General features: G+C 37.0%; 1 protein-coding gene and 1 pseudogene across 10 annotated transcripts in view; both read right to left on the bottom strand.

Moving 5' to 3' along the window:
• Positions 1–19,712, bottom strand: part of MALRD1 (MAM and LDL receptor class A domain containing 1) — a 687,552-nt gene that overhangs the window by 227,526 nt on the left and 440,314 nt on the right. For all 10 annotated transcript variants that reach the window (XM_011519453.3, XM_011519455.3, XM_011519454.2 and 7 more), the window contains 2 exons: positions 15,308–15,436; positions 8,307–8,468 (listed from right to left, as the gene is read on the bottom strand). In XM_011519453.3, the coding sequence (XP_011517755.1) occupies positions 8,307–8,468; positions 15,308–15,436 (291 nt within the window). The remainder of the gene's footprint in view (positions 1–8,306; positions 8,469–15,307; positions 15,437–19,712) is intronic.
• HMGN1P20 (high mobility group nucleosome binding domain 1 pseudogene 20) lies at positions 17,256–17,955 on the bottom strand (annotated as a pseudogene).

Here is a 19,712-nt window from a genome sequence, read left to right as displayed (position 1 = left end):
CTGTAAAGGCTGTAGAACTGTGAGTCAACTAAATTTCTTTATCACTTACCCAGTCTCAGGTATTTCTTTATAGCAATGCAAGGATGGCCTAATACACATGGTCCATCTTGCTTTGTCTATATTTCCACCCACATTTTCAATACTACAGAATTATTTGAAAGCAAGCCTGGTATCAAATTGCACCATCTTTAAATACTTCAGTATATATTTTTATCAGATAATGACTTCTTTTTTATTACTGGCATATTACATTTAACCACACTTATTATCATATCTAACCAATAGAAAATATATTTTATGTAAATATTTACTTATATATGCACATTTGAATTAGAATATATACATGTATATGGAAATATATATATATATCTCAACAATATTTTTAGTATCATGACAAAAATGGTTGCACTTGTATGATACACAAGTGTCAATAGATATGAATAATTGATGCTCACTTCCAAATCAATGCCTCCTACAGGTGCATCTGATTGATAGCTTTCATTCTAAGTACATGAGAATTTGAATGAGATTGGGCTCATATAGCTGGATAATAAACCCAGTCACAGTTCTCTAAAGAGCAATGAGAAATCTGATTTTTGTCCATTATGCTGAGTTCTGTTTCTTCCAGGGATAACTGTTCTTTTCCTCTACTTTCTCTTTCATGACATTGGTTGTCTTCAAATGTGTGGTGATTCTTGGTTATTCATTTAAACTCATGAATGAAAGCCTCTGTTGCTTAGCACACAATAAAGAATTTCAATAGTCAACAGAAAGAACTGTTTTCCCAACAGACTTCTGTGATTGGGAGGATGAATAGCAGGTGCTTTGGATGTAGGTTGAGCATGCAGGCAAATACACTTCCCCATAGGGCAGGCATTCTCATCCTTGACCACGCACTGGAATCCCACGCAGAATTCTTAAAAATCTTCATGCCCAGGCTACAGCAAAGACCAATTAAATAAGAATCTTTGTGGGTGGGACCCAGCTATTAGTACTTTTATTAAGTCCCTAGATGATTCTAATATGCAGCCAAGGTTCAAAACCACTCCCTATTGTGATGATCCTGTGTAACCCCAACTATGACACTGACTCATTTTCAGGCTGTAATTATCTCATGATTATCTTTCCCCAGGCAGATGTCCAAATTTCTTTAGACTGCCCTTCCCTGACTTTATCCTGAGAGAGAAAGCCATTTATGCGAGCAGTTGTGTTTGGAAGCAGTGATCATTGGTTGAAATGTGAGAAGCAGGGCCAATTTCCCTATTCCTCCAAGTGGTCTGAGTGAGTTCCCCTGAAGAGTTCTTCACAACCTTTCTTAGAATTTGTATTAGTCTGCTAGCACTGCCACAACAAAATACCAGAGGCTGAATGACTTAAACGACAGAAATTTATTTCTTCACAGTTCTGAAGGCTGGAAGTCCAAGACCAAGGTGCCAGGAGATCTGATTTCTCCTGAGGCCTCTTTCCTTGGCTTGCAATGACTGTCTTCTCTCTGTGTCCTTACGTGGCCTTTCCTCTGTACTTGAAGATTCCTGGTGTTTCTCCTTCATTTTATGAGGACAACAGTCCTATTGAACTAAGACTCTTATGACCCCATTTAACATTAATCACCTACTTAAAGACCGTATCTCCAAATAGTCACACTAGGATTAGCACTTCAACCTAGGAATTCTGGAGGAAGGGGGCACAATTCAGTCCTTACCAGTACTTTTTACTTGGATCTTAGGATATCTGTATATATGTGTAGCTTCTTTGGGAAGACCTATAGTGAACTATTTTTCCTTAACTTAGGATTTCTGATCCCATTTGCCTTTTTCCTCTTCCTCCTACTCTACCTCTCCCTCTTCCTCCTCCTCTGCCTCTTTCTCCTTCTTTTTCTGCCCCAGCTCCTCCCTCATCTTCTCCTTCTTTTTCTTGGAATGCCTCAAAAATTTCTTGTCAAACAGTTTAATCTTTAAAAAATGTGTTACAGGCCGGGCGCGGTGGCTCACGCCTGTAATCCCAGCACTTTGGGAGGCCGAGGCGGGTGGATCATGAGGTCAGGAGATCGAGACCATCCTGGCTAACAAGGTGAAACCCCGTCTCTACTAAAAATACAAAAACTTAGCCGGGCGCGGTGGCGGGCGCCTGTAGTCCCAGCTACTCGGGAGGCTGAGGCAGGAGAATGGCGTGAACCCGGGAAGCGGAGCTTGCAGTGAGCCGAGATTGCGCCACTGCAGTCCGCAGTCCGGCCTGGGCGACAGAGCGAGACTCCGTCTCAAAAAAAAAAAAAAAAAAAAAAAAAAAAATGTGTTACAATATAGTCATTATATGTTTTTGTATATGTGTGTGTGTGTCTGTGTATGAGTGTGTGTGCAAGTATGTCTTTAAGTGTATGTGTATGTTTGAGTGCATATGAGTAAGATCAAAGTGGGTCCAGGAATAATGGTCTGGGAATCATGTGAGGGAGTGCTGGCTTTTCTATATCTAACCCCATATCCCTGTCCAACCTTCTCAAGCAAATGAATTAGTAGAAGTAGGGGAGTCTCTCTCTACTCTATCAGAGACCAGGGTGATACAAATCAAGAGTGAAATTGAGGTTTAGTGGCCCTGAATACGAAGGTTAAGGGGATCCAGGCAGAGCTGTTTATAAGGAAAGAACACACTACAGTGATGTCCTGGAAAAGGGCTTGGATTCGGATCCATACGCCAGGGTTTCCACTCCGGCTTTGCTACTCATTTTACGGGTTGAGAAAAACCATAATATCTGTGTTCCTCATCTCTGATATCAGAATAATATCCATCCTGTCTGCCCATAGGAAGTACAGTTATCATCTGCATAACCTGCAGGACACTATCAACCAAATATCAAATTGAGTTGTATTTATTGAATACTATATGTCTTAAATTGCTATTATACATAGGAGAGCATTAGCTTGCTAAGATTATTTGGGGGTGTTTTCTGACCTTGAGTGGTGAGTATAGAAATGCATGATAGTAAGCTTGTATGCTCTTGTCAGTCAGCATATTTGATTCCATAGTTATTTACCAAACATTTAGTTAATTCATATTCTGTTCCCAGCACAATGAATGGTATTTAGTAAGCACTCAGGAAATGCTTAATGCATTAAGTAATCCAAAATACTTCACTGTCAATAAATATAGTAGGGGATAGTTCCAAGTAACCTACAGAAGTATTTATCAGGTGCAATTCAAACTTATTTAAATGCTAGAGGAGACGTAACAATAGCAAAAGATGTGACAGTTGTCTTACTGGAGTTGATAGTCTAATTGTGGAGATGGCCGATTATATCATTTAAAAGAACATAAAGTTATGAAGGAAGGGAAAAAGAGAGACAGCAGCAGCTTTGTGCCTTATGCCTTCATTAATTCAAGCTACATAAATGTCACCCTTGCCATTCAATCTTGTATACATTAAGTCTAAACAGTATTCATGTGTAGACCAGAGAGTCGACTGATGTTTGTTGTTTCTCTCCCCAACTTCGTCAATGTCTCCAAAAAGGCTCATAAATAGCCCTGTGATGGGCAGTGAAAATGGCCCTCTTATGTATCTAATTCTTCATCTTGATAACAATAAGTGCAAAGGTCCATAAATACAATTTTAATTAACAGCTCTGCTGTGATGCTTAGAAATAGACCATAGGCTCACTGAATTTGTTGGCCTTCTCATAAAGAATTTTGTTTTTCCCAGAGGGTCAAAATTAATTAATGTCCTTACAATTTATTCAGCATCCCATTATTTCAGAGATGCCTAAATAGTCTCACTCAGCCGTATTAGTGTATCAAGAATGATATAATCAGGCTGCTTTGAAGAGAGCACTCTGTAAAATATACTGTCTCAAGTAGTGATTAACAAGGAGGATAATAAAGTATTCTGTCAGAATTACTGCTTTTTTTTAAATCTGCAGACAACATTGCTTGTATATAACATTACATAAATAACCAGATTCAAAACTTTTCATGTGATCTTTGATGAACATACACAAGCTCTAAAAGTTCAAAAAAGAAAAATTAATACTCTTAATAATCTTTAATGTTTCCATTAAAAGGTATCAATTGAACACTCGTGTTTTCTTTCTGAACAACAGATGTAAACTTTCTCATATCTATTGACTATACTTTAATCTTGTTCTCAACTGAGCCTGCAGTTTTTGTATCATTAGTATTATTATAGCAGAAGACATGCTCTGTAGTTTTCAAATACCGTCCTAGGATAAGGGAAGATTATGGCAGATAATATCTAACGAGCTCACAGGCATTTGTGTCCACACGTTATTGTCCAGATCTTAGCAGAATAAATGAAAATTGGCTTGTTTCTCATATTTTCTCAAAAAATCCCATATATTCATCTTTGGGAATTATAGAAGTAAAAAAGTTCCATCTAAATGTCAATTTGTTGTTGTGATATTTATCATAATGGAGAAAATAATATGTTTATAATAAGATTTTATAAATTTTGATATTTTCAAAAAGTAAAATACTATAAAACTATGCTGTGCAAGATACTTCACTACATATAAACTTATTTACACTACATTTTTAGAATTACAGAATCAAATAGAAACCTATTTCTCTCTGAAAATGCATAACATTAAGAAAGAATGGGAGTATGAACATACATAAGGCTTATCGATGGCTTTAACATTACTCTGAGTTTACTAGAAAAGTTTTTTCTGCTTATTTATATTTTAAAAATTTTAGAAAAGTTTATTATTTAGTAATGTAAAATTGATAAATAGAAATATTGAAGAAAAAGTAAATATTAAAAGGACAAGAACAGTTCAGACCTTTCAAGTGGCAAACCTTAATATATTCACCACGCTTTTCACAAACACACAAATGTGCTACCACCATGTATACTGGATTTTCTTTTCAGGTACAGTTCCTGTTACTTGCTTCTTCTTTTCTTTTCTTTTCTTTTCTTTTCTTTTTTTTTTTTTGAGACAGAATCTTGCTGGAGTGCAATGGAGTAAACACGACACTGCAGCCTCAATCTCATGGGCTCAAGCCATTCTCCTGCCTCAGCCTCCCGAGTAGTGGGGACAACAGGCACTCTACCACACCTGGCTAATTTTTTATTTTTTGTAGAGATGGGGTTTCACTATGTTGCCCAGGCTGGTCTCGAACTGCTGGGTTCAAGCAATCCTCCTGCCTCAGCCTCCCAAAGGGCTGGGATTACAGGCATGAGCCACCCTGCCCAGCCTTGTTTCTTTTTCTACTGAGTTTATTTCCTCCTCTACTTTAACCCTGTCACCCATTCAGGTAATCTATGTTAATAAACAAGTATGTATCCTTTTATCCTATCCTCCATGCTCACAGTCATTCATAGAAATATCTATGTACAGATTTATACATATGCACAATAAGGGGGTACTAGTTGTTGTCTGCTTTAGAAAAACTAGATCACACTATCTTAACATTTTGCATATTGCTTTACTCCTTCAACACTGTCATTTGGAAATCCTTTCAAATCAACTATACATGACTAAACTCTTTTTAGTGACTGCATAATATTGCACATTGTGGATTTTACAAGTTACCTTGGCTTCCAGGCTGTTTCTCTGGGTTCTCAACAGGGGCAATTTCTAAAGATATTTTGGCTTTATTATAATTAGAAAGAGGAGTGCTTCCGACATCTAGTTGGCAGAGGCCTCAAGTGCTGCTAAACATCTTACAAATGCACAGGTCAAACCCCTAATTAATTAGACTGACCCAAATGTCATTAGCAACCAGGTTGAGACACCTTCCAAAAACAGGCTGATCTAGCTCTGGAACATTCTTTCCTTAGGTAACCACAGGTCACTTCCTCACAGCTCCTTCAGGTCTCTTGTTGAATGGCATTTCTGTGCAGGGTCTAATTTGACCAGCCTATTTACAGGCCATCCTCCCAACTCCAAGGCACATACCTATCTACTGGCTGTCACACTCCTATGTACTCCATTCCTTTCTTTTTGTCCCCTTAACTTCTAATAAGCCATCTAATTTATTTATTTATTATGTTTACCCATTATCTTTTCCCTCCTTCTGTAATGTAAGCTCCACCGTGACAGGGATTTATGCCTGTTTCATTCACTGATGCATCCACAGGACCTGGCCAAGTGCCTGGCATTTGAGAAATAGTTAAGTGAATGAAGGAAGGAACATATAAATGATCACATAATAGGCATTCATTTATTTCCCATTATTTCTGCTAAAAGCAATGCTGACATAAATATCCTCATATAAGTCATTATGTGTTGGCCCTTCTATGTCCAAGAGGCCAAAATGCTTTCTAAATTGGGTTTAGAAGCTGACTTCAGGTTTTAAAAGTTGACTTCTATGTCAAAGAGGCCAAAATGCTTTGTAAATTGGGTTTAGGAGGTTTTAAAATATTCTGCTCTAAATTACACACAGTTTACTCTCTGTTTTCTTGCAAAGATTTTCTTATTTTTATTTGTTACATTTAAGTCTTTATCTAGATTGTATTGCTGTATATGATATAAAACTTGGATTTAATTTTAAGTCCTTCCAGGTGGATAACCAGATATGCCAGCACCATACTGTATAGTCCATCTTTTGCCCACTATTTTAAATATCTACCTTTGTTATACACTAAATCCTTCTAATTACTGACCTTAGTTTCTTGATTCTCTGTCCTGTTCATCTTATAGTATACACTAACTTCATGTTTTTAAGGGAAACAAAAGCTTGTGAAAGGGAGCTACAACGTGGCAAGTCAAAAGGAGTTAGAATATTCAATTTAAAGGTTAATTCTACCAGACATAAAAAGAAGAGCTGGTGACAATTCCAAAAATTCAAGGAGGAGGGACTCTTCCCTAACTCATTCTATGAAGCCAGCATTACCCTGATACTAAAATCTGGCAAAGCCACAGTGAAAAAAGTAAACTACAGGCCAATATCCCTGATAAACACAGACACAAAAATCCTCAACAAAATACTTGAAAACCAAATCCACCATCATATCAAAGAGTTAATTCACCACAATCCAGTAGGGTTCATTCCTAAGATGCAAGGTTGGTTCGACATACGCAAATCAGTACATGTGATTCACCATATAGAAGGAATTAGGGAAAAATCTTTAAAACAAGAATGAATGTCCATACTGTAATTGAATAGCATGATACATTCAATCTGCCTGGAATATATAAATAATAAAATTAATGTGCTCTTTTCACTAGTCATATAATGGCTAGGACAATCTTTTGAAAGTTACTTAAATTCCATGTAATCTCGTTCTTTTTTACTGTGCATATGCTTCAACTGTTTTGAAGAATATTGTATTGGTTAGGGTTCTCCTGAGAAACAGAATCAACAGGATGTGTGTATATACAGAAGGAGATTTATTATAAGGAATTGGCTCATGACATTATGAAGGCTGCCAAGTCCAATATCTGCAGGGTGGACTGTCAGGCTGGAGAACCATAAAAGCCCATGGTGCAGATGAAATCTGAAGACATTCCCTTGGGGATCCTTCTTGCTGCATAGGCTGGTTTTTTTTTTTTTTTTTCTATTCAGGCCTTCAGTTGATTGGAGGAGGCCACATTATGAAGGGCAATCCACTTTACTCAAAGTTCATCAATTTAAATGTTGATCTCATCCAAAACATCTCCAATTTGACACATAAAATTAGCATCACAAATATCTTAGATATTTTTTTATCCCTAATAAAAGCTAGATTTCTAAGATAAATTCTGAGTCAGTAGGACTTTTTTGTAAGAGTAAATAAGATTACAAGCTTACTCCTACTTTGAGTCTATTAACTGTAAAGCCATTAAAGATTGCATAATCTGAAATCACAGGGCAGAAAGCAACACTTGTGAAGATTATGCTGATACTCACTCATTCCATCACCACTTACCATTTTACACTTTGGCTCCTGTACTTCAAAATGATGGGAAGGAAATTGGTGGTCAGCCATTTCATTGTTGTGACTGGCCATTGTCACAACAGGATAACTTTTAGCATTGCCAGTTGTATATCTTTGCATATTGCAATCATTAATCTGAATGCCACCCACCTACCCTCCTCCAATTAGGGAATTTAATGGCACCCTTAGGGTAGAGTGAGTAAAATCTGTGAGTCTCTTAAAATATGAGTCATGAGTTGCTTTGTTGTAGCAGTGTCAGCTCTGGGTCTATTTAGTAATTCAGAGTTTGCAATAGAAGAGACTAGCCCTCTTTCCATAAAACCTACTGAGCTCTGTCCCCACATACACATAAGAAATGCACACTGAAATTCACACAAATTGTTAAAGCAGACTTTAAGATGAGTGGGTTTCTTGGTCTGGGGATGGCTACTAGATTTACCTGGCGTGTGATCAGAGTCTGGAATTAATGCTTTGGCAGGAATTCTGCTGCCAATGGCCCAGTCCAAGTCATCCTCAGAGTCTTGAGTAAGACTGCAGGCTGTGGTCCAGTTTCCTGAACTTGTTTCAAAATTGCAGCTTCCTGTTGTGCTTGTATAATGTGCTGGGGAAGCAAAAACATTAATGGAATTTCTGGAAATGTCTATCACATTTGCTACTACCCTATATTTGGGATCATTTAAAATTAGTATCTGCATATTCTAATTCTTTATAAATACACTTACAGCATCAAGACATTTGTACTCATTGTTAATATTTTAATTGAAGGATCTAGAAGCAGTGTATGAATGTTGTCACTTATTCATTAAGGAGTTATATGCATTGACGAATAATATTTATAGATGATAGTTAAAACTGTGTCTACACATGAACAATAAACATAACATTATGCTAATACAAGATTATTCAGGTCAAATAAATAAACAGCTTCAGTTGTCTGGATGTTTAATTCACTTCCGTCCCTTATTCTGATGTTTGAATAGCATAGCCTATTAGCGACGCAAAGTCATTTACTCAAGAAAAGGCACTTTGGGAGAAGTAGTAAACTGTATAGGACACAAATTATCTTGGACACCATACCAATCACTGCAGCATCAAATATCAGAGCTAGTCACTAAATTAAAGAAAGAAATTCTCTTCTAAAAGTGTTGATTGATAACTCATTAAAAATTAAATTATTCACAGTGAGAAAAATTAATAGATAATAACTGTATCTATTTCTAGTCACCTGTGAAAAGTGCCATCATGATACCCTGATCTAGGCTTTCATTTTTCTTTTTTTTGTACATCAGTTATTACTTTTGAAGCACTCACTGTAAAACCAGACTGCGTTGTACAGACAGAATGAATGACTGGGTGATTTAATTGGTATGAATCAATTGAGATTGTCATTGACTTTTCCTTTCTTTTTAGAAAGAAAGTTTGTGTTATTTTTAAACTTCCTTCTCGTTCACAACTTTTCCTTAACATACAACCAATGTTAGCATATAGAAATGTAATCAGAAAAAAGCCTTGCTGTAAGAATAGATACTAAATATATAGCAAGCAAAGCTTTAATATTTCCACACAAAACTTTCTGGATCCCTGAGATTATTTAAATAAAATATTAGCATTTTACTTCTCAAGCATTATTGTATCTTATCCCTACAAATTACAACCACTTGTATTCATGTACATTCCTTTCGTTCATTCTATATGACTATATATAATCTATTGCTTCTTGTATGCTTATTTATGGGCTCTGTGTGCCTTTTTTGTGTTTGTCATGCCAGTGTTATATAATATAGAATAGGTTTTTATTATGTGATATGGATAAAAAATGAGACATTCCGTTCTGCTGGTGTTTAGCCAACACATCTGTAAAAATTCAGAATCTTGCAATGGACATAAAAGACAGTCATCATGTGTTCTTTAGAATGATGTCACCTGCACATTCTTTACTAGTTTTCTATGTAAGTGACTCCCTGATATACAGCCCTACAATATTTATTCCGCATCCTTTTCTATTCTCTGTGATCATCCTTGTACCTCCTGTCCCGCTTTGCTTAATATATGACTTTATTTTTGATGCTAAAGATATTTATCCAATCAGGATAAATTCTCTTACATTTCATTCACTCAATCTCAAAATATGCCACTTTTCTCTTTCTTAAGGCTAATCTCTGTTTATGATCTCAACTCCTTATGAAAACACTGCTATTGACTTTCCACAGCTTCATTTTCTGCAAAGTTACACATTTTTCCACGTCCTTCAATTTCACATCCTCTTCTAATTCCTTTCTTCTAATTTGCAGCCACACAGCCAGGCTGACCCTATTAATTTAAAAATATTCACATATATTTGCTTGCTTATATTTCTCACTCTGTATTGGCCTTAGTCATCCCTTTCCATGGCCTTTCACACTTTTATGCAGATGTCCCACCAATCAATAACTGCAATGGTTAATTTGAGATTATTTGAGGTTGTTAACTTGAGATCTTTCCAACTTTTTGATGTGGGCATTTGGTGCTATAAATTTCCCTCTTAACAGTGTCTTAGCTGTGTCCCAGAGATTCTGATATGTTGTATGCCTGTTCTCATTAGTTTCAAAAAATGTCTTGATTTCTACTTTAGTGTCATTATTTACCCAAAAGTCATTCAGAAGCAGGCTGTTTAATTTCTGTGTAAATGTGTTGTTTTGAGAGATCTTCTTGGTATAGATTTCTATTTTTATTGTGCTGTGATGGTTGGTATAATTTTGTTTTTTTGGAATTTGCTGAGGATTGTTTTATGTACAACTGTGTGGTCAATTTTAAAGTATGTGCCATCTGGCAATAAGAATGTATATTCTGTGGTTTGGGGGTAGGGTGTTCTGCAGATGTCTATTAGGTCCATTGGTCAAGTGTTGAGTTCAGGTCCTGAATATCTTTGTTAATTTTCTGCCTCAATTATCTGTCTAATACTGTCAGTGGGGTGTTGAAGTCTTCCACTATTATTGTTTGGGAGTCTAAGTCTCTTCATAGGTCTCTAGAAACTGGCTTTATGAATATGGGTACTCCTGTGTTGGGTGCCTATATATTTAGGATAGTTAGGTCTTCTTGTTGAATTGAATCCTTTACCATATCTACAGTCATTGTCTTTCTTGATCTTTATTGGTTTAAAGTCTATTTTGTCTGAAATGAGGTTTGCAATCTCTGCTTTTTACTGATTTCCATTTGCTTGGTAGGTTTTTCTCCTTCCCTTTATTTTGAGCCTACGGGTGTCACTGAGTGTGAGATGGGTCTCTTGAAGACAGCCAACCACTTGGTCTTGCTTTTTTATATAGCTTGCCACTCTGTGCCTTTTAATTGGGGCATTTTGCCTATTTACATTCAAGGTTAACATGACAATGCATGGATTTAATCCTGTCATCATGTCATTAGCTGGTTGTCATGCAGATTTGTTTGTCTGGTTGCTTACAGTGTCACTGGTCTGTGTACTTAGGTGTGTTTTTGTAGTGGCTGGTGATGGTCTTCAGAAGCTCTTTTAAGGCAGGTTTGCTGATAATGAATTATCTCAGCATTTGCTTGTCTGAAAAGGATGTTATTTCTCCTTCATTTATGAAGTTTAGTTTGCCTGTATGTGAAATTCTTGGTTGTAGGTTTTCTTTTTTTTTTTTTTTAGAATGTTGAATATAGGCCCCCAATTTTTCTGGCTTGGAAGGTAAAAGATTCACTGCTGAAAGATTCACTATTAGTCTGATGAGGTTCCCTTTGTAGGTGACCTGTCCTTCCTTTTTAGCTATCTTTAACCTTTTTTCTTTCATTTTGACCTTGGGAAATGTGATTATTATGGCCAGGTGTGGTGGCTCATACCTGTAATCCCGGCACTCTGGGAGGCCGAGGCAGGCAGATCACTTGAGATCAGGAGTTTGAAACCAGCCTGGCCAACATGGCAACACCCCATCTCTACTAAAAATAGAAAAATTAGCTGGGTGTGGTGGTAGACACTTGTAATCCAAGCTGCTAATGAGGCTGAGGCGGGAGAATTGCTTGAACCTGGGAGACGGAGGTTGCAGTGAGCTGAGATTATGCCACTTCACTCCAACCTGGGTGACAAAGCAAGACTCTGTCTTACAAAAAAAAAAAAAAGTGATGATTATGTGTCTTGTGGATAATCTTCATGTGTAATATCTTGCAGGGGTTCTCTTCATTTCCTGAATTTGAATGTTGGCCTCTTTAGTGAGGTTGGCAAAGTTTTTATTAACAATATCCTGAAAGCAATTTTTCAAGTTGCTTGCTTTCTCCCTGTCTCTTTCAAGGATACCAGTGATTCATAGATTTGGCCTCTTAACATAATCCCATATTTCTGAGAGAATTTTTTCATTCCTTTTTATTCTTTTTTCTTTATTTTTGTCTATGTTTTTTCAGTAATCCAGTCTTCAAGCTCTTGATTCTTTCCTGAATTTGTTCTATTCTGGTGCTAATACTTGCTATTACATTGTAAAATTCTTGTAGTGTGTTTTTTAGCTCCATTAGGTGAATTACGTTATTTTTTTATACTGGATATTTCATCCGTCAGCTCCTGCATAATTGTTATTCTTAGCTTCTTTGGATTGGGTTTCAATGTCCTCCTGAATCTCAATAGTATTTGTTCCTACCCATATTCTGAATTCTATGTGTGCCATTTCAGCCATCTCACCTGATTAAGAACCCTTGCTGGAGAACTAGCACAGTCCTTTGGAGAACAGAAGACACTCTGGCCATTTGAGTTGCCAGAGTTCTTTCACTGGTTCTTTCTTATTTCTGTGTGCAAATGTTCCTTTAACTTCAGTGTAGATTGAGTACAGTCATTAGAATTATTTTCTGCATGTTTCCAGAGGGCTGAGGCTTTGCTCAGGGTCTTCATTTGTAGCTGACTTCTTGCCTTTGGTTTGATGGAGGGTATGCTAGCAAAGTACTTTGGTGTTGACGATTTGGGGTGTAATCCAGCCAGCATGTGGCGCTAAGTGCAGTGGTCAGCAGGTAGGCTCTTAATCATGTGGCTCCTCTATATTTCCTCACAGTTGCAGCTGTGCTCCCTCTTAATGCCCTGAATGTGTGGGCTCCTCTTCCACCTGAGTGCTGGCTGCAGTTTACAGGCTTGAATTTGTCCAAGTTTTTACTGTGTCGTGGGTGACTATTAAATGCCCTACTTAGTACATCTTGTGGGGAAAATGGTGATTTCACACGTTTTAGAGTCTTCCATTGAAATTAATTCCTTACACTCAGTATTTTTAAAAATACACTTTTGTCGTGTTTTTTGTTTTTTTGTTTTTTGAGACGAGTCTCACTCTGTCGCCCAGGCTGGAGTGCAGTGGTACAATCTCAGCTCACTGCAACCTCCACCTCCCAGGTTCAAGCAATTCTCTGCCTCAGCCTCCCAAGTGGCTGGGATTACAGGCATCCACCACCAGGAACGGCTAATTTTTTTTTTTTTTTTTTTAGTAGAGACGGGGTTTCACCATGTTGGCCAGGCTGGTCTTGAACTCCTGACCTTGTGATCCACCCGCATCGGCCTCCCAAAGTGCTGGGACTACAGGTGTGAGCCACTGCGCCTGGCCGGTGAATTTAAAAGAAGCTAGAAATAACACTAGAAAGTGTTACTCAGTGAACTATAAGTTTTATTTGAGAATGTACATACTATGAAAGAAATACATGATATTTTATAAAATTAATACTATAATTCTATGGTATTAGTAATAAAGTCTTAAGATGTGTTGATTGTTTTGACTTTTTAAAAATACTTTCATTTAAAATTAAAATATGAAACGAACCTTGAAGACATTAGGGTAAGTGACACAAGCCAGTCACAGAAAAGAAAAATACTATATGACTCCACTGATATGAGGTACCTAGAATAGAAATGAAAGATCTTTTATAGAGATGGAGAGGAGAAGGGTGGTTACCATGGTCTAGGGGAAGGGGTAAATGGAGTGTTATTCTTTAATTAATACGGTTTTGTTTTTCTTGGATGAAAATAGTTCTAGAGGTGGATGGTGGCAGTGGTTGCACAACAATACAAATGTACTTAATGCCATTAAATTATACATTTTAAATGGTTGAAATGGTAAATTTTTTATTATGTGTTTTTTACCACAGCTTTTTAAAGTTTAAAAATATATTAAAAATTTTAAATAGAAAATGAGCCCATTGGAAGCATCAGTATAAGATCCTAAGAAATAAAAAATTAAATTGAGCTATACAATAAAAATGTAAATATGCTTGTGTGGTAGTTTGTCTCCAAAAAGGTCACCCTACAACCTTCTCTACATTTGATGTATTTTCCCATTGAAAGTCTAGTCTAGACTTTGTTTTCTCATTGAAAGTCTAGTCTAGACTTTGTTATTTGCTTGGCCATTAGCAGGAATCAGGTATGGTATTATGCAACATCTGAGGCTAAATCAAAGTAACTGTTGCTATTTTTCCTGAGGATCGGGGGACACTTTCTAGTAGAAGCCAGCCCTGTGTACAATGGCTTACCACCCTGTGGCTACCATGTTATGTAAAGCCCAAGCCACATGGAGTACTCTGGAGGATGAGACACCATCTCTAGTAAGACAGAGAGACCAAAGAGTATCAAGAGAAGAAGTCATCTTGGATGTGATTATCTAGTTCCACCCTATCAGTTCGACTCAGGCCATCAGAGACAAACTGCCCAGAAGAGCCCTTCCTGAATTACTGACCCAAAAAATTGTGAGCAAAATGTAACAGTGGCCTAGACCACTAACTTCTGGGGTAGCTTGTTAGGCAGCAAATGGTAACTGCAACAGGTAGCTGGTATGGTATCAATATTCTCTAGGAAAGATAAGATAAATGGAAAAAATATCCTTTTTTTCCAGTACAATATATGGAAAAAAGATCCTTTGAATTTAAATATCTGCTCATATTTTAAAATTATATACTTAGTTTTATATATGTTTTTAAACATTGCTTGAATTAAAGCTTGAATAAAAATACAATGGAGCCCAACCAGTCCTCTTTCTCCAGTGCAATGTAATTGATAAAATTAATTACTAAACTGGTATTTATTAAAAGTGATCATTTTCAGCTGCATATACAAAATCAACAATTTTTTGGAAAAAAAAATAGAAAAAAAAAAACAACCAATAAAGAAAGGCAGATTGCTACTGCAGTTCCTAGAAACTTTAATTCTAACCCTACACACAGTGTGCCTAATTACAGAATGGGATTATTTTTTGGTAAAATGATTTTCTATAGACTTGTTACTGTTCTCAGTATGGGGTAAAGAATATGAAAGTACTGTCATTTGTATTTGTATTTGATACTTGTATACAAATTTGGGGAAATATTTGGGCTATTCTAAATCTACTCTAGTGCATGAAAATAATATTTCTTCTCCATCATCAACACCAATATCTAACTCTACTTATGAAGGAAAATATCTGCTGAACTGGCTGCCATACAGCAGATAGATAAACTTACCACAGTGAGCTTCATCAGACCTATCAGAGCAGTCTGGCTTATAGTCACAAAGAAGGTGGGATGCAATGCACTTCTTGTCCCGGCACAAAAAATCAGTGATTTCCGGACAAAGCTCAGAGATCTCTCCCACTAGGGAAAAACAAAAAAACAAAAGCAGTATTCCATCAATATTTTCATTAGACTTGAAGATTCCTGTTAGGTATTTTATAGATTTCACACTAGTAAGCAAGTTAAGGATTTCAACAGTTGCCTAAGATGGACTTCCCCAACTTCCTCTTTCTCAGTCCCACCTTCAATGGTTCAGCAAGTTATATAGACTCTACTTCTGAAATATCTTTTATGCACTTTGATGGTGCTGAAAATCTCCTTGCCTGTGATTCTCATGGATGAGACACTCAAATTTGTGGCCCACAACTACCTGGAACCTGGTAAAGGGTATGTGCAGCCTGCCACCAAATCCTGCTCATTGTCAGCATGCACTGATGAGATTTCCTGGCCATTTGTGCTGCTCGTAATGCTCCTGGTGATCTGAGTCTATAGCAAAGACACTAATTTTAATGATATGTTCCTGTCTTGACTGAAAATTTTACATAAAGAAGATGTTAACTTTATTGGTTAAAGCAACTGTCTATTTCTGCTGAATTTTCACATAAACATACTGGCTGGTGGAGGTTTCATACTCTAAATTTTATTTTGCTTTTCCTGACTCCCATGGGGCAAAATTTTCCTTTTTTATACACATAATTAAAGTGTCCATTGACAAGTACAGAGAACTAACACTATTTTATGCAAATTTTTTGTAGATGAAAAAGTATGGACAGTGTTTAATACTCATCCTCGTATAAAAAAATAGTCAAGCCAGCAGACATTGTCAGAAAATTAATTGGCAGCAGACTTCAGGAAATGAATGTGTGTTTTTTTCTAAAACTAAATAGCATGTATTGTGTCTTTTGCGTGATGATCTGAATTTAATTTGATATCACAGTCTAATTTTTATTCATAAGCCAATTTTTCTGCACTGAGCAGAGTCCTGCTACCTCAGTTAGTGTTGTTTTGGTTTGCCATTTCCCCCACCCACCTCAGCCTCCCTTCACCGTACCCCCACTCTACCCTCACCCCCATAACCCTGCCCCCCCCCCGCCCCACTTGGCTTCTTCTGTTTACATCAGTTTTAAACAGAGGTATGACTGTTTACATCAGTTTTAACGAGAGGTATGCCTGTACTCGCTTGTGCAGAAAACATTGTTCCAGATTTAATCGACCGGGTTTATGTCCCTTCACATGGTTTTTAAGATTATTTAAATGTCTAATGTATTTTATTGTAACAGACATTGTGTTGCCAACATTGCCTATTTCAGTGGCACATCACAACCTAATTTAGATAGAAAAATCAAACATTTTAAATGGACAAAGGAAAAAAAGATAAAAAGATATTTTTTCTTTCATAACTGACATTGTATTGGTTGAGGATCAGTACAGACATTTCAATATGTACACAATTCCTAAGACATGTACCAAAAATCTAAAAACCTATATATTGTAATTCTTTTTTAAAGTGATTCCAGTGACTTTCCAGCTTAAAATTTGGAAGCAAATTTTCCTTAAGAGGCTATCAAGTACCAGTATCTTCACATGTTGATAAGCTGTTACCTACATCCCACCAATTCACAACTGAATAGCATGTATGCTACATATGCAAATTTTTGACCTTTCACAGCACAGTAACAAAGTTATTAGGAAAATAGGACTATCACAACCAAAGAGGCTACACAGTGCCCACAATTCTGACAGCAGAGCCACGATCAAGGAGTAGTTTTCTTTAGGAAACAATTCTACTACAAAACAACATGGGAATAGAAGTAATTTAAAATGCTAAAGACGTTAGATGCAAGATTGTGACTCCATATTGCCATTGAATATGCTTTGTATTATAGGATATAAAAACTAACCCCCACCGATGCAATGTTAAGCTGACAACCAAGACAGTGAAAGCATCCCATAATTCAATATCCCACACTATTCTCTGGTTGTACCAAAAAATAAACAACCAGCGAATGATTTCACCTCTTAAAAAAAAGCATTTACACTTAAAAAATAGGATGAGATGGGATTCCCTCCTTCTTAAAAATGTTTCTGGAGCTGCTACTAAACAACTTGCATTTACAAAATGGTTGATAAAAATATTCCCCTGGATTGTACAAGAAGGGAGACAGGGACCACTGATAAGACATGGTACATAGTATTAATCAGACTTGGCTACTTTCTCTCCTGCTTCATCAGAGGCTGGACTCTCCTCAGTTTTCCTTTCCCCGTTTTCTGCAGTTAACTCTTCTTTACTTTCGTGGTTAGCCACTTAGGCCTGTTTTCCCTTTGCTCTCCTTTTCCCTTTTGTTTGTGCTTTTTTGTCTTAAGATGTATCCTTCGCTGCTGCCTTTTTCGGCTTCGCCTGCACTTTTGCAGGAGCAGGTTTACCTGACAACAGCGCTGACCTCCTGTTAGGCTTTTCCTGTGGCGGCCCCTTCAGCAGAGCTGACCTTCCTCTTGGGCATTCTGGCTCCGGAAAGGCGCGTGCGCGGTGCCTGGCGCTGCCGCCCCTCCACCCTCCGAGCTGCTGAGACCCCTGGCGGGGGATGGTGGGAGAACCGGATAGAACCGGATTGGGAGCCCGCCTTCTCCTCCGCCCCCGCTAAATTTTTTCAGTACACGGGATCTTAATAACCCATGTAATAACCCAAACTACTTCTTAGAAAATGCAAAGTATTCTTAACAAAAATCCTAACTCTGCAGGAAGGTCATTCATGACATTTGACTTCTTTGCATGGCCACACACCTTTCCATCGTTGTACAGGTGGGGACCGAGGCTGATCATTACCTAGTACATAAATCCAAACCCCCTAATAAAGACATTAAAAATCCTTTGTCCTTGGTTCCAGCTTAGTTTTCCAGTCTCATTTTCTGTGACTCTCAAGTACCTGCAATTGTTCTATATCCTATGACTGAAGGTTTCACAAATCTGTCCCTTGCTCTTCGTTTTTTCATGCATTCACAGATGCTACTTCCTGTCTGCCCTGACTATTCCCTCCAGAGCCCCAGGTGCCCGCTGCCCAAACTTATGATTCAATGAAATGACTTCTCTCTCTCTACTTTTGTCTTGCCTTTCTCACTGCCATCTTTGCCCCAGGTGAGACACTTCTGTTTCATGCCACCTAAGTACCCTTTTATTCCTATACTACAATGAGTATCATCACATATAAGAGCTATTTATACATGGCTGGCTGTCCCCCCAGACTCCAAGCTCCTTAGAACCAGAAGTTCTTATCGTGTTCTCTTGGGCCTCACATAGAACCTGATATATAGTTGGCTCTTTATAAACCTTGGTTATCATAATTTCAGAAACAATGTTTTCATCTAAAGGGGGCTTAGAAAAGTGAATTGACATAGAATTTTTAGAGCAATTCTTATATTTAAATATTATTTCATCAGATATGTAGTCAAATGACAATACTTCACAGATTCATAGTGACTTATATTAAAGGTTTACAATTTTTTTTATCAACTTCAACAAATTAAATAAAATTCAGCAGTTCCTTTGTTACATAGGTGATTATAGGTTCAGAGGTGATGTACCCGAGGTGGAGGTAATTTACTGACAATTAGGCAGTACTTCCACAAATAAAAAGAACACAACTCTACAGACTTGACTAAAAGTGCATATCCAGAGTCTTTGGATTATGCCCATAATACAATAGCTAAAACCTGTATGATATCCAAAAATAATTTACCAGTAAAATTTGGTATATACAAATATGAAGACTGAAGAAAGAACATCTAAGACAACAGCAAATGGTCCAATTATGGGCATTAACAAGACAAAGACTTAAAGGTCATATTTACCAAGTAGTTTAGGAACTTTGCCACAAAATTTTAATTAACACTAGCGAGAATTTACAGTTAACCCTAGGGCAGTATGTGGACATTTTTTCCATATGCAAGTCTATGCATTTGAGATTATTTTATTTTTCCATGCCATAGGATGTAAAGCCATATAATTACTCCACAGGGGAAATGTGCTTTGATGTCACTCTAAATAGTTGGTTCTTTGGCTTTTATAAAAAAAAAAAAAAAAAAGTTAAAATAGGCTACATCTCTAAATAAGGGTTATTTTCTTTCAAAATATAGAATAGCAAAGCCATGAAGAGAAATAAAGTGATGCTCTGAACTGCAGTAAACTGAACAATGACTAGAATATCTATGAAATATTAGGTGTCCAAAGAAAAATAAACAAATAAAAAACAGCCTCACGTATATTTTTTAAGAATACAGCAAATTGAAAAGATAGATTTTTTTAATGAAAGACTGTTTTGCATGTGTTTAGCCATTTTATATTTTTTATTCAGCCAAAATG

This window comes from Homo sapiens, chromosome 10 (assembly GCF_000001405.40).
Source record: "Homo sapiens chromosome 10, GRCh38.p14 Primary Assembly".
NCBI classification, from domain to species: Eukaryota; Metazoa; Chordata; class Mammalia; order Primates; family Hominidae; genus Homo; species Homo sapiens.
Note: the sequence above shows the minus strand (reverse complement) of the source record. Positions and strands in the feature narration are given on the sequence as shown.